General features: G+C 48.1%; 1 protein-coding gene and 1 non-coding gene across 2 annotated transcripts in view, besides 2 other annotated features; both read left to right on the top strand.

Annotated features, from left to right (window-relative positions):
- Positions 1–15,200, top strand: part of SLC47A1 (solute carrier family 47 member 1) — a 45,181-nt gene that overhangs the window by 9,540 nt on the left and 20,441 nt on the right. The window contains exons 3-10 of the mRNA NM_018242.3: positions 3,042–3,110; positions 4,592–4,740; positions 6,242–6,284; positions 8,031–8,075; positions 11,819–11,916; positions 12,200–12,297; positions 12,403–12,516; positions 12,602–12,669. Coding sequence (NP_060712.2) covers positions 3,042–3,110; positions 4,592–4,740; positions 6,242–6,284; positions 8,031–8,075; positions 11,819–11,916; positions 12,200–12,297; positions 12,403–12,516; positions 12,602–12,669 — 684 coding nt within the window. The remainder of the gene's footprint in view (positions 1–3,041; positions 3,111–4,591; positions 4,741–6,241; positions 6,285–8,030; positions 8,076–11,818; positions 11,917–12,199; positions 12,298–12,402; positions 12,517–12,601; positions 12,670–15,200) is intronic.
- Positions 8,934–9,434: an enhancer, noted in NCBI's record as "H3K4me1 hESC enhancer chr17:19455640-19456140 (GRCh37/hg19 assembly coordinates)". NCBI's record gives its function as "activates a minimal SCP1, AML or CMV promoter by ChIP-STARR-seq in primed H9 embryonic stem cells {active_cell/tissue: H9 hESC(primed)}" and the evidence as "EXISTENCE:reporter gene assay evidence [ECO:0000049][PMID:30033119]".
- Positions 9,435–9,935: an enhancer, noted in NCBI's record as "H3K4me1 hESC enhancer chr17:19456141-19456641 (GRCh37/hg19 assembly coordinates)". NCBI's record gives its function as "activates a minimal SCP1, AML or CMV promoter by ChIP-STARR-seq in primed H9 embryonic stem cells {active_cell/tissue: H9 hESC(primed)}" and the evidence as "EXISTENCE:reporter gene assay evidence [ECO:0000049][PMID:30033119]".
- Positions 14,167–14,318, top strand: SNORA59B (small nucleolar RNA, H/ACA box 59B). Its single transcript, NR_003022.1, has one exon. It is a non-coding gene; the product is annotated as a small nucleolar RNA, H/ACA box 59B (small nucleolar RNA).

The following is a 15,200-nucleotide window of genomic DNA, read 5'->3' on the forward strand; positions in this document are numbered from 1 at the left end:
GCCACTGCGCCCGGCCTACATCATCTTATTTCTAATCCATGGAACTCGTTCCCACTCTTGGTCCCACAGTTGGGGGAGGGGAACAGTAAAAGGGGAGTTCAGTCTGACTTCCTCAGAGGAACTGACTCCCCCCCATGCCCACTCCTCAGTTGTCTGTCTTACTGAGAGTCCTAATCTAGAAATGGGTCTGGAAGGTAAAAATCTAGATCTTTGTGTCCAAACTTAAAATTGGGAGGAACTGCAAATCCTCTCTGTATAATAGATGCAAACCCCCAAAACCAGAGACATGTCATCAATCTCAGCCAGGAATTGTCAGCTGGCCATGTAAGAACAAAGGGTTTGGTTTGTCTAGTTAGGTTGTTTCTAGAAAAGTGGATTCAGTGGCTCTCGGGCAGGTGTATGTTCCCCTTTCCTCCTGCCCTGACGGAGACACAATTTCACTTGATCTGCCTGGTCTCGCCAGGCATTTGAGTTTGCTATCCATGAACTACGCGAAACGCCTGGGAACTAGTCACCAAGTATATGTGGAGCTAGCTATGAGTATATATGGCTTATTTTATTTTATTTAATTATTTATTTTGAGATGGAGTCTCGCTCTGTCGCCCGGTCTGGAGTGCAGTGGTGCCATCTTGGCTCACTGCAAACTCCACCTCCCGGGTTCAAATGATTCTCCAGCCTCAGCCTGGGATTACAGGCACATGCCACCACACCCAGCTAATTTTTTGTATTTTTAGTAGAGATGGGGTTTCACCATGTTGGTCAGGTGGGTCTTGAACTCCTGACCTCGTGATCTGCCCTCCTCAGCTTCCTGAAGTGCTGGGATTACAGGCGTGAGCCACTGCACCCAGCATGGCTTATTTTATTTTGGCTTTAGCGGGCAACATGGACAATCCCAGGCTTAATTATCCATTTTGTTTTTAAGTATTGTATTTGCAATAGAGGAGAAGACAGAAATGCACTTAGCAAGCCTCAGCAGATTCTCTTTGGCCAAGGAATTACAGGATGTGGCCAAGGACTTATCAAAGTCAGTGCTTCCAGGCTGGGTGCAGTTTGGGCTGTTGTCCACAGGTTCCCTGCTGTAGAGTCAAGTGGAGGTACCAGGTTCCAGATGGGGAGCACATCAGACATCCTGTGATACCACTCCCTGGTTTGGGGGGCACTGCTCTAGGCTCCTCGAAACTTCAGGGTTTGCTGCTGACCCTGGTGAAGGCGAGCACACCTGGAAAGCCTCTGGCACTAGTCCGGACTTCAGACCGCCTCTGCACTCCCAGTGCCCCCCAGGGTACGGACGCAGGCCATGCTAGGTCTCCAGCAGGCGGACTTTTCTGTGTTACTGTGCCATTGCATTCCCGGAAGAAGTGTCCCTGATACCCGAAATTGGAGAGCAAAGTGACTTTTTAAAAGAGAAAGCCTGGGTAATCACCTCTAGCCTAGGCTTTTCCCCTTCCAAACTTGTACATGTCCTTACCCATCCAAGATCTTGTAACCGTAATAGGCTTGTCAACTTGCTTGTCACAAGTCAATAATCTGAGATGGCAGGTTGCAACAGTGAAAGAGGTTTAATTGTAAGGCCACTGAATGAGGACACCTCAAATCAGTCTCTCTGAGGAGTTTGGGGCAGGGTGTTTAAGGATTTTCGAATGGGCTGAAGTGTGATTGTTGATTGGTTGAAGAGTGCAGCATGAAGTCATGGGACAGGGAGATGAAGAAACTGTGTTCTCATGCTGATTCAGTTCCTCCTTGTGGGTCTGCAAACTGGTTGGTGTCAGATGTTTCACTGGAATTCAGGCTCTGCTTAATAAAAAATTTTTTTTTTTTTGAGATGGAGTCTTGTTCTGTTGCCCAGGCTGGAGTGCAGTGGCACGATCTCAGTTCACTGCAACTTCCGCTTCCCGGGTTCAAGTGATTCTCCTGCCTCAGCCTCCTGAGTAGCTGGGAATACAGGCGCCCGCCACTATGCTGGGCTAATTTTTGTATTTTAGTAGAGACTGGGTTTCACCATATTGGTCAGGCTGGTCTCAAACGCCTGACCTCGTGATCCGCCCACCTCGGCCTCCCAAAGTGCTGGGATTACAGGCGTGAGCCACTATGCTCGGCCAGAAATTTTTTTTTTTTGAGACAGGGTCTCACTCCATTGCCCAGGCTAGAGTGCAGTGGTGCAATCTCAGTTCACTGTAACCTCTGCTTCTTGGGATCAAGTGATCGTCCCACCTCAGCCTCTGGAAATAGCTGGGACTACAGGAGCATGCCACCATGCCTGCTAGTTTTTGTACTTTTGTAGGGACGAGTTTTCATCATGCTGCCTAGACTGGTCTCAAACTCCTGGGCTCAAACGATCCTCCCACCTTGGCTTCCCAAAGTGCTGGGATTACAGGCATAAACCACCACACCTGGCCAACAATTCTTAAACAATAGCCTTATCATTGTAACACCAGAAATCCCATCTGTAGGAACAGTGGGGATGTACATGGCCAGTGTCTGGTGCCACATGACTTTCAGTTATAAGGAAGTGGGTCAAAGTGCAGCCTGATTAATACTATAGTTCTAGGCCGCGCGCTGTGGCTCACACCTGTAATCCCAGCACTTTGGGAGGCGGAGGCGGGTGGATCACGAGGTCAAGAGATCAAACCATCCTGGCCAACATGGTGAAACCCCGTCTTTACTAAAAATACAAAAATTAGCCGGTCATGGTAGCGCACTCCTGTAGTCCCAGCTACTCGGGAGGCTGAAGCAGGAGAATCACTTGAACCCAGGAGGTGGAGGTTGCAGTGAGCCGAGATCGCGCCACTGCACTCCAGCCTGGGCAACAGAGCTAAACTCTGTCTCAAAAAATATATATATTATAGTTCTGTCCAGAATTCTTGTTAAACCTGTGAGAATGGCTTCAGTATGAGTGGGGTCCAGGCAGCTAACAAAGTTGGTAAAATTGACTTGTGAATGCTGAAGGAGGAGCTTTGCAGGCTCTTATCAATACACACAGGGATTTTGTCTTCCTTTCCTCCTTTAACTCTATAGGGCCTTATCTTTGGGTTTATTTGCAGGTTATCAATGTCACTGGTGTCTCAGTGGGATTCGGCTTATCTTCTGCCTGTGACACCCTCATCTCCCAGGTAAATGGAAGTGGTCACACGCTCACAGTGACCTCAAACATCTTTTCTCAAGTGTAGATGGAAGAGCTCCACTGGCAGGAAGAGTTCAGCAGCCAGCACTTGCAGCACCTATCAGCCAGCAACTCCTCTTCTCCTGGCCTGCTTTCTTTGAAATGTCACTAGGTTTCTTTCAGCCTTGTCAACTAGTTTTTGTCTGCACAACTGCCTTACCCTATATTTTGATCAAATAGGGGACATTTTGTAAAATTCCCTTCTATTGCTCCCCACGTTTGAATTTGGTATAGTTCTGTGGTTCTCAGAATTGAGCGTGCATTGATTGAGCTTGGAGAGCTTGTTAAAACCCAGCTTGCCTGGCCCCACCCAGTGGCAGGCTGGTAAATGTTCAGCAACCAGGCCTTGGGTGAAAGGGGAAGGAGGGAAACACATGACTGGCAGTGTTTGCCAGTTCCAGGGGCGTAAGTATTTCCTCTGGTTAATTTCAGATTACCAGAGATGTCACTGAACCTGGAGCTGGAAGAGATGTGCACGACTTGAAAAGATGTACAAAATTTGGCTTGTTTTGTTTGGAGACAGAGTCTTGCTCTATCGCCCAGGCTGGGCTGCAGTGGCACACCCACTGCTCACGGCAGCCTCGAACTCCTGAGCTCCAGCGATCCTCTTGCCTCAGCCTCTCAAGTACCTGGTATTACAGGCATGTGCCACTACACCCAGCTAATTTTTTGTAGAGATAGGGTTTTGCCATGTTGCACAGGCTGGTCTCGAACTCCTGGGCTCAAGCAATCCTCCTACCTCAGCCTCCCAACATGTTGGGATTATAGGCATGAGCCACAATGCCCAGCCTGGCTTTTTTTTTTTTTTTTTTGAGATGGACTCTGGCTCTGTCACCCAGGCTGGAGTGCAGTGGCACAATCTCGGCTCACTGCAAACTTTGCCTCCCTAAAAAAATTTTTTTCCAGTCTCTAAAAATAAATGAAGTGTGAATTTCAGATTGTTTACCTCTGCAAAAGAAATTGTTTTAAATATAATTTTTTTTTAAAAAAAGGTACGGATCTCTGAATCCTGCCCTGTGTGAATTAAGTCCAGAATATCATTAGTGAGAGTTTTGAAAATGTTCCCCTGGTGATGCTACTGGAAGCTGAGTTTGAGAAGCATCTTTCACACCATCCTTCTCCTACCTAAACACTGGGGCAAAGTGTCTAGGGCCATGGGCTTCTTTTTTTTTTTTTTTTTTTTTTTTGAGACAGAGTCTTGCTGTGTCCCCCAGGCTGGAGTGCAGTGGCGTGATCTCGGCTCACTGCAACCTCTGCCTCCCAGGTTCAAGCGATTCTCCTGCCTCAGCCTCCTGAGTAGCTGGGATTACAGGCGTGAGCCACCTTATCCAGCCAACCTGCTTCTTTGTGTGGCACAATTGAAGGCTTTTAGGGGACAGCTGGTGTGCTGGGTCTGTGCTAATGGGCTCATTTTGGCTGTGTGCACCCCAGACGTACGGGAGCCAGAACCTGAAGCACGTGGGCGTGATCCTGCAGCGGAGTGCGCTCGTCCTGCTCCTCTGCTGCTTCCCCTGCTGGGCGCTCTTTCTCAACACCCAGCACATCCTGCTGCTCTTCAGGCAGGACCCAGATGTGTCCAGGTAAGATGGAACCTGTCGCAGCGGGACTTGGCGTCCATCCCACGGAAAGATTATCCTGTCTGGGTGCAGCCAGGGCCAGGGACAAGGCTGCACACCAAGGTGGTGCTCATCTCTCCTTGGCTGACGTCTCCTAGGTCTTAGTACTTTCCACACCTGGCATCTGAGATGTACTCCCCCTCGCCTCCTGGGTGACTTGCATGGTTAAGAGTTTTAAATGAAAATAGATTTGCAAGCACCCTCCATGTGGGATGGTAGTTTGTGACGTTTGCTCAAAGTTTAGTTATTCTTGACCTTCGTTGATATTAAAATCACCTGGGTGCTTTCAAACCCACCTGTGCCCCTGCTCCCTACCACCCAAGATTTTTCTTTTTTTTTTTTTTTTTTGAGACCAAGTCTCACTCCGTCCCCCAGACTGGAATGCAGTGGTGCGATCTTGGCTCGCTGCAACCTCTGCCTCCTGGGTTCAAGCAATTCTCCTGCCTCAGGCTCCCGAGTAGCTGAGATTACAGGCACCTACTACCACGCCTGGCTAATTTTTGTACTTTTAGTAGAGACGGGGTTTCAATCATGTTGGCGAGGCTGGCCTCAAACTCCTGACCTCACGGGATCTGTCGCCTCGGCCTCCCAAAGTGCATGAGCCACCATGCCCGGCCAGGATTCTCTTTTAATTGGTCTGTGGTGAGGCCTGGGTATCGGTATCTTTCAAAGCACCCTAGGTGATTCTACTGTGCTGTCAAGTTTGAGACCCACTGATTTAATTGGGTAAGAGCTTTTAAAGCTCTTATCTAGACCAGCGGCTCTGAACCCAGGAGACGTTTGACAATGTCTGAAGACATTTCTGGTTATCACAGCTGGCAGTAGGAGGGTGCTCCTGGTAGAAGGCAGGAGGCTGTGGAACATCCTGCAGTGCTCGGGACAGCACCACACAACAGGTGGAGAATTACCTGGCCATAGTGCTGAGGTTGAAAAACCCTGTCCTAGACATAAAGATATAAAATAATCAAGAAAGGTTATCAGGGTTATAAGATGACAAGCTCTATATGTAAATTTTCACATTTGCTCCGCAGTTTTGTTTTTTTTTTTGAGATGGAGTCTCGCCCTGTTGCCCAGGCTGGAGTGCAATGGTGTGATCTCAGCTCACTGTAACCTCCGCCTCCTGGGTTCAAAAGATTCTCCTGCCGCAGCCTCCCAAGTGGCTGGGATTACAGGTGGCCGCCACCACACTTGGTTAATATTTGTATTTTTAGTAGAGACGGGGTTTTACTATGTTAGCCAGGCTGGTCTCGAACTCCTCAGCTCATGAACTGCTTGCCTCGGGATTACAGGCTGGGATTACAGGCGTGAGCCACCGCGCCCGGCCTGCTCCAGCAACTTAAGCCCATTAATCTGGAAACAGCCAAGAATGGAAAAGGCAGTTTTAGTTATTTTCTTCTGCCTAACTTTCCCTGGAAACAGAGGCCTCCATCACAGTTTTTGTTTTCTTTTTCTTTTCGTTATTTAGGCTTACCCAGACCTATGTCACGATCTTCATTCCAGCTCTTCCTGTAAGTGCTCAAGGGCTAAGAGATTCCCTTCTTGGGGTCCGTGGGTGAAAGGTAGCCACCATATCTGTGAGCTCAGTGTATTGGCTCAGTCTTAGATGATTCTTATCTGTGGTGTTGGTGCCTTCAAGGAAGCCTGTTTTTATTTATGCCTGTTAAGGACACAACAGATGTTCATCTCAAGGAACACCAAGATTGAGGCTACTCCAGGACGTCTGGAGTAGAGCTGGAGAGACCTCCAGAATCATCCATGGAGAAGAGTGCAAACTTTTATTGTAAACAAGGGCAAAGTCTCACCCATCTCAGAACCCCTGAGGGTGTCACTTAGAACCTTTAGACTTTTTTTTGGTCTGCTGCGTTTGACCACACAGAACCTTAAGCATGGGTTAATGTTTGACACAGCAGTGTGTGGCCAATGAACAATGAGAGCTAAGTGGTTTTTTTGTTTGTTTGTTTGGTGTTTTTGAGACAGGGTCTCATTCCATCACCCAGGCTGAAGTACAGTGGGATCGTCATAGCTCACTGCAGCCTTGACCTCCTGGGCTCAAGCCATCATCCTGCCTCAGCCTCCTGAGTTGCTGGAACTACAGGCACATGCCACCACACTTGGCTAATTTTTTAGTTTTGTAGAGACAGGGTCTTGCTAATTTTTTTTTTCTAAGATAGGGTGTCACTCTGTCACCCAGGCTGAAGTGCAGTGGCACAGTCCTCACTCATTGCAACCTCTGCCTCCCTGGCTCAAGTGATCCTCCCACCTCAGCCTCCTGATTAGCCGATACTACAGGTGCACACCACCACGCCCAGCTAATTTTTGTATTTTTTGTAGAGATAGCATTTTACCATGTTTCCCAGGCTGGTCTCAAACTCCTGCGTTCAAGCAATCCATCTGCTTTGGCCTCCCGAAGTGTTGGGTTGCATGTGTGAGCCACCACACCTGGCCTGAGAGCTAAGTGTTTGTTATTCAGCTGGAGGCTGTAGCTGAATTAGTCTGCAGGGGCTTCCGTAATATAATACCACACACTAGGGAGCTTAAACAACAGAAGTTTATTTTCTTACAGTTCAGGAAGCTGGAAGTCCAAGGTCAAGGTGCAGCAGGGTTGGTGTCCTCTGCGGCCTCTCTCCTTGGCCTGTGGACGGCCACCCTCTGCAGGTTGTCCCCTGTGCATTCATCCCCCGGTATCCCCTGTCTTCTTATGAGGACACGAGTCCTATTGGATTAGGGCCCCACCCTAATGACCTCATTTTAATTTAATCTCCCCTTGAGGACCTCCAAATAGTCACACTGGGGACTAGGGCTTCAACATACGGATCTAGGGACACCATTTGCCCTCAGAATTGGCAGTGTGCTCGCTTACTTATCCTGAAACCTTGTAAATGTGACAGTCTTTCATGATTCCACCACATAGGACCAGTCTATATGGAGGTGCCCATCTGGAGTGTGCCTGGGGCCTCCTTTCCATGCCAGTGTCCCCAGAAGAGTCCTGGCCATTCACCCAGGGAAACTCCACCTCCTTTTGCCAGATGGAGGGAATATGCTTGGGGCATATGCACCCATAAAGAAGATGTGGGAAGCCCCTGGGCCATAACACCCTGGCCCCAGCCCTGTCCTGAGACGACAGCCTCTGTGGCTCCGTGCGGGAGCAGAGGGCAGCCGAACCTTGGCTGTGGCTCCTAGCTCCCTGCCGTGTGACCTCACTTCTGTGTGGCAAGGCTGAAACATTAACATTCATCTCTCTTGTTCTCTTGTAGGCAACCTTTCTTTATATGTTACAAGTTAAATATTTGCTCAACCAGGTAATACTGACTGTTCTCTTCCTTTGGGAGGCTAATGGGAGTTTGTACCTTTCTGGGAATGGGGGCCCTGAAGATACTCCAGGACCAGGGACCCCAGGGTGGAGGGAGCTCACTGCTGGGAGCCACTGAAAGATATTTTTTCAGTGTTGTGCACACAGAACTTGGATGTCAAGAGGTTTGTTAAGTGATGTCAAGGAAAGAACATATTATATTTGGCTCTGGAAAACTCTTATCCAATTCCCACTTGGAAATATTGTCATTGGCAGGGTGGGCTCAGAGCCGCAGTGTTCCTTGGCTCTGCATTTTAACCAGCGTCCTGGAAAGAAGGGTGCATGCCCATTTGCTCCTAAGACAGAGCGCAGGCTGGGGGCAGCTCGTCTGGCAGAGAGGGAACCAAACTGTCTGCTCTGTTCTGTCGGAATGGCCCCACTTTTCTCATTGAGGATGTAAGAGCTCAAACTCTAATGACACCTAACGTCAGCCAGAACTCCTCCTCTGTGATTAAACAGTCAGGGCCAAAGGCCATGGCTTGGTAGGGGTGGATTTATGAAATCAGCATATGTGGGACTCTCTACATTCTTCCAGATAAGTCCAGGTAAACAGGGGTACTCGGCAATGGATCCCGGCCACACTGGCGGGCTCTCCAGGCATGTGCAACAGGAAGGGCCAGGAGGGGAGGAGGAAGAAAGGAAGTTTCCCACCTATGCAGTGTTCTTAAAGTTAAGATATTCCTCTATTAGAACAAAATTTTTAAAGTAGATATGGGGTCTTGCTATGTTGCCCAGGCTGGTTTCAAACTTCTGGCCTCAAGCAATCCTCCTGCCTCAGTCTCCAAAAGTGCTGGACTTACAGGTGTGAGCCACTGCATCCGGCCAGGATATTACTCTATCAACAAAACAAGAATATTTAGAATCCCGATTAGCATAGAATGACATATCAGAAATAGGTGTAGACTAGAGAGAAGGAAACCCACACATTTCATCCGGCTTTGGGCTGTCTCCTTTTGATCTAGACCCTTGCTAAGGCAGCATGGATGCCTTAGCACCCTGCAAGGCCTTCTCCTGGACTCAGTCCCCCAACCACTGTGGTGGCCCTAACCTCAGGGTCTGATGTGACCTGCTGAGGACAATGAGTGTGAAAGTCTTCTTTCCTGTTCTCTGGGGCACAGGGAAAGGCATGGAAGTAGGAGCCACGAGCTGAGAGGGGTTGGGAGCTTTGAACTTGGTTACAGAGGACACGTGGAGTTTCCAAGGTTGGGAAGGAAGGCAGGGGATCCTAGACAGAGGTGCAGCAGAGCCTGTTCCTAGGGGCTGGGGCCCGCAGAGTCTCTTTACGCCACTGCGGTGGGAGGGGATGCAGTGAGATGATGGCATCGAGAGGCGGGCTGGCCCAGGGTCAGCGTGCGCAGGGCCTTGTGTTCTCTGCTGGGGCATTTAGTTTTGGGAAATTAACTAATTGGGAGAGGAAGAGGGGAGAGTTATGGACATGATCCAAACAAATAATGGTGAAGGTCTGTGATGAAGAGTTTGCGTTGTGGGAGCAGTGGGAGATACGATGATGGGTGGGTTCTGTAGAAATGGCAGGGGTTGTTGGGCCCCCAGGGTGGAAGGAGTTTCTGTCCTGGGGCCCTTCCCTAGGAAGACAGGGCAACCATTAGCTGAGTGTAGAACCAAAGAGAAGCAGCTGGGAGTTTGGAGAAAGTGAATGCCCTCGGAGAGGGTGGAGGGTGGGAACAGAGCCAGATGGTATCGGGGGAAGGGAGACTTTCAAGTAGGAGAGTCAAGAGGGCTTTGGAGGAGAAGGTGACTCCACTGGACATGGAGACGCATGCGTGTTGCAGGCTTGGCCACCTCTTCTCGTTCTCCCACGAGCCTGCTCCTCTGCCTTCCATTCCATCGCAATGGGTGGAATTCCGTGGCCTCAGCCATTTTTGCTCCCAGTAACCTGTCCTTTTTGTCCCTGTCACATCCTCGACTCCATCTTTCCTTCCCTCCCACATCTGGTCAGTCACCTGGTCCTATAGCTTCTGCCTCCTCCCAATCCTCCATGCCACCACCTGAATTCATTTCTTTCTTCCTTTTTTTTTTTTTTTTTTGAGATGGAGTCTCTGTTGCCCAGGCTAGAGTGCAGTGACGTGACCTCGGCTCACTGCAACCTCCACCTCCGAGGTTCAAGCGATTCTCCTGCCTCAGCCTCCCAAGTAGCTGGGACTACAGGCGCGTGCCACCACGCCCAGCTAGTTTTTGTATTTTTAGTAGAGATGGGGTTTTACCATGTTGGCCAGGCTAGTCTCAAACTCCTGACCTCAGGTGATCCACTCGCCTTGGCCTCCCAAAGTGCTGGGATTACAGGCGTGACCCACCGTGCCCAGCCCTGAATTCATTTCTTGCCATTTGTCCTCTGTGTCATTTCAGAGGACCTTAACCTGTCTCCATCCACTGCCATCTGCCTGAAAAGTAAATCTGATCACTAATTCCCTTGCTACAAACTAACCAGGGCCTCCCCATAAATATGTGGCCTACACAAGTTGTCGGCCAAGACCATTGTCCTGGCCCCATCAGCCTGAGACCACCAGAGACAGGACTGTAGGCCAGTGGGTTTGCAGTTGTGTTTATTGGCCTGTCGCAGTGAGAGAGACTAGAGAGGCTGTGGGATGCCTCAGCAAAGGAAGAAGAGTTATTATAAAGGTTTGAAGAAGGGTGGGGTTCAGGTGACATTTAAGCGAAATCATGGTTTGATAGGCGCTGAGCAGATCTGTGAGTGAGGGGCCCAACATCAGGCCTGGGCTGTGACGTGGACCTGGTGCTCCTCCTTTGGAAACTCAAGGCTAAGAAGGATGTTGAGGGTGGACAGATGTAAAATGCCACATCCAGGAGCTCCCACGAAGCTCTGTGCCTGGGTTGGAAATTGAGGCTACTTTTTTGTGTTAACATGATTTTGAGCCTCCACGCGAGAGTGGGGTGTTTTCTTTTTACTGAAATGATTTCAAACAGCAATGTTTCTGAACAGTCTGATTTTAGACAACAAAGTTTCTCAGTGAGTCAGAAAGCACTCGTCATTCCACTAGGGGAGTAATGACACTTTATGGGGACAGCGTGACCTTGGGAGAAAGGAGGTTTCCTTTTACGTTTGCACTGACTTTATCTGCGTCTGCTATTCTATCCGGATGCGGGGCAGGACAGAGTTTTACTTCCTTGGTCTGATGTAATTTTACTTTCACCCCTGTCTTACTTTGAGACACCAAACAGTCTGGATGTTTCACCAGTCCTGTACTTTTGAAAGTTAGATATGTTGGAATCCCTTCCGTATTCTAGAAAGAAACTCTAGTTTCTTCAAGATCTTAGGTCAATTTTCTGAATTTCTATTTTGGTGAAGAAAGTATTCTCATTTTCTCCTATCGTCCAGTGTCAAAGGTGCCTTGTTGACCCATTTAGCCCCTGCCAGTCCTTGCACTGTTGGAAATAAGCCATTTATCTTCTTCCTTCCCTGCTGCTGAACATATCTTGCCTGTGTCTCTCTGTGGCCAGAACTCCGCACTTTATACCTCAAAGAGAGAAGGAAGAGAAAGGGGTGGGAGAGTGGAAAGGCAGGAGCAACAAGGACATGACCTCCCCAGTTAAGCCCCCCAGCTATGCCTGTGATACCCGCTGAGCAGGCCAGCTGGAGCCTGTGTGTGCTTGGGTAGCAGAAAGGCAGTCCTATTCTGTGGATCTCAAGGATGGCATGCGGTGTCCTTTTTCCAGGGAATTGTACTGCCCCAGATCGTAACTGGAGTTGCAGCCAACCTTGTCAATGCCCTCGCCAACTATCTGTTTCTCCATCAACTGCATCTTGGGGTGATGTGAGTCCAACATACTCTTGGGACAGGGAGAAGGGATGACTTGCATGTGGTTTTTCCAGGAGGGAGAAGAGTGGGCTCTTCAGCTGGTTCTTGTGTCCATGCGTGGTCTCTTTCTTGCACACTGTGGAAAGCACTGTCAGGGATGGAGGGTGAGGCTGCTCTGGGAAGAAGACCTTGGCCTGCTGAGGACAGCACGGGAAGGGATGAGTCTCCCCTCCTCACTGAGTTGGGCAGGGAGAGGCGCAGGAAGGTACCTCCCTCTCATTGGGACTGTTCTTTCCAGAGGCTCTGCACTGGCAAACTTGATTTCCCAGTACACCCTGGCTCTACTCCTCTTTCTCTACATCCTCGGGAAAAAACTGCATCAAGCTACATGGGGAGGTAATGACTGCCCTTTTGTCTTCCAACTGGGATGTGGGTTTTGTCTCAGGTTGAGTTCCAGCCCGATGGCCAGATCTCCTGGAAATGTGTGTGTCCCCCCCACAGGCTGGTCCCTCGAGTGCCTGCAGGACTGGGCCTCCTTCCTCCGCCTGGCCATCCCCAGCATGCTCATGCTGTGCATGGAGTGGTGGGCCTATGAGGTCGGGAGCTTCCTCAGTGGTCTGTATGAGGATGGATGACGGGGACTGGTGGGAACCTGGGGGCCCTGTCTGGGTGCAAGGCGACAGCTGTCTTTCTTCACCAGGCATCCTCGGCATGGTGGAGCTGGGCGCTCAGTCCATCGTGTATGAACTGGCCATCATTGTGTACATGGTAAGCAGGGGAGCCGATCATGGGGAGGTGCCAGGCGTTTTCCTTGCTTGGTATCTGAAAGAGTCTATGGATGAGCACAGGCATTCGTACATGAATCATTTGTGAAATGATGGACAAAAGTCAAATCCCATCCTTGAGCCTGGGAGGGTACCTCTGCTACAGCTGGATCTTCCCTAGGAACTGAAGGGGGGCTGGAGAGAAACTGCACATGATCTGCTGGTTCTCCATCTCCTAACGCAGCTCCCAGCTGAATCTTCCCTTGAAAGATTTGATTTTGTTTCCATACTTTTAGAATCTTTTTCAGTTGTCACAACACAAATGCCTTGAGGGGCCAGGTGGGTGGCATAGCAGAGGGATGAGGCTGGGTGTATGACCATAAACATCAAGCTGCCTGTGTCACTATGCCCGCTCCTGCCTGGTTCTGAAGCCTCTGAAAACACAGTGTGGCTACTGCAAGGTAGATCCCCAAAACAACTGAAAGCAGGGTCTTAAAGGGATTTTTTTTTTTTTTTTGAGATGGAGTCCCACTCTTGTTGCCCTGGCTGGAGTGCAATGGTGTGATCTCGGCTCACTGCAACCTCCGCCTCCCGGGTTCAAGCATTTCTTCTGCCTCAGCCTCCCAAGTAGCTGAGATTACAGGTGCCTGCCACCACGCCCAGCTAATTTTGTATTTTCAGTAGAGACAGGGTTTCACCATGTTGGTCAGCTGGTCTTGAACTCCTGACCTCAGGCGATCTACCCGCCTTGGCCTCTCAAAGTGTTGGGATTACAGGCGTGAGCCACCGCGCCTGACTTGTTAACTGTGTTCACAGGAGCATTATTGACAGTAGACAAAAGGTGGAAGCAACCTATGTGTCTGCGGGTAAATGAAATGGGTTCTATGCATACAGTGGAGTATTATTCAGCCTTAAAAGGGAGGAAATTTTGATCATAGAGAACACTAGTCATTAGGAGGCTTTTCTTTGGCTTTATTTTCCTGAAAACATCAACTGGAGATTCTGAAGGAAGCAAGTACCATTTTAGAAATGTAAAATTAAAAACAAAGGGAGTTTATAATGTGGGGAGAAACTCAAGCCAGCAGATATGCTTGGCATTTTTTGCAGTATTAACACTTAGATTTTTTCCCTCTGATATTGGTTATGTTTTAAAACATAGAGTACACATTTTCTGTTTTGTTTAAGAATTATTCTCTTGCAGACCTATGTTTTTTGTTTTTGTTTTTCTATCCTTGGCAGAGTTTTTTAACATGGATTTTTTACTTCACTTTTAATATTTTATTTACATTTTATATTTGAGTAAATTCATTAACTATATCTAAGTCAAAATGCTTAATGGTATATAGGATTCCACTATATGTGATATACTTTTAAAATCAATTTCCTATGGTTGAATAGTTTATTTCCAATGTTTCAATATTAACAACTCTTCAAGGAACATCCTAGGAAAAAATATCTTCATATACTTGTCTGATTATTTCTTTAAGATTCATAAAAGTGGGCCCAGGGTATGTTCACGGGGCGATGCTGCCCTCCCAGCTGGCCCATGGGTGACCCTGGGAACATTAACTGCCTCACAACGTTTGTGCCTCAGTTACCCGTAGATGTAGTGAGGGTAACAATACTTACTCTCGTTGGTGATAAGGAACAGCTAACACAACACACAGGGTTTTTCTGCTCCCAAAATGGGATTCTTCAGTGCACCAAATCGAAGAAAGCACTGGAGCTCACGCTGGTTTCTCCATTGTTTCTCCTTAACAGTGGAAACTGTAACTTTTGTTCTAGTAGCATCTAGCATGCTCAATAATTATTTGTAAATAAAAGTTATACTTTCCCTCCAAAAAAAAAAAAAAAAAGATTCATAAAAGTGAAACAAAGGTACGATTTTATGTCTTTTGAATATATTTCCATATGCTTTCCAATAGGCTTGTAAGAATTTACACTTGTATTTCTTAATCAAAAGAAAGATGTATGCCCTTTCCTCAGGTTCACCAGTTTTGTCACATTTATTCTGTCTGGTCTATCTACACAGTCCATGTTCAAATACTATATCAATACAGTCAATTCAAAACAATACCAATTGTTCTGGTAATGTCCCTTATCACTAATTTTCCCCTAGCGTCATATCTCTTTAGTGTCCTTTAATCTGGAACAGATCTTCATTGTTCCTTCGTCTTTCTTGACCTTGGCATTTTTGAAGAACATAGGCCGTTATCTGTAGAAGTTCACTCAGTGTGGTGCAGCTGATGTTTCCTTATAAATAAATTTAGATTGTCCGTTTTGGGCAGGAAAGCTAGAGAAGTGATGCTGTGTCCTTCTTAGTGCACCATATCAGGAGGCACATGATGTTGATCTGTCTCAGTGTTGGTGATACTACTTTTTACTTGTTGGTGGTTGTTTTTATTTTACTTATTTTTTTTTTTTTAAGACAGTGTCTTGTTCTGGTGACAGCGGCCTGATCTTGGCTTACTACAGTCTTGACCTCCTGGACTCAAGCAATCCTCCCACCTCAGCCTCCTGAGTAGCTGGGACTAC

Source organism: Homo sapiens, chromosome 17 (assembly GCF_000001405.40).
Source record: "Homo sapiens chromosome 17, GRCh38.p14 Primary Assembly".
Lineage (NCBI taxonomy): Eukaryota > Metazoa > Chordata > Mammalia > Primates > Hominidae > Homo > Homo sapiens.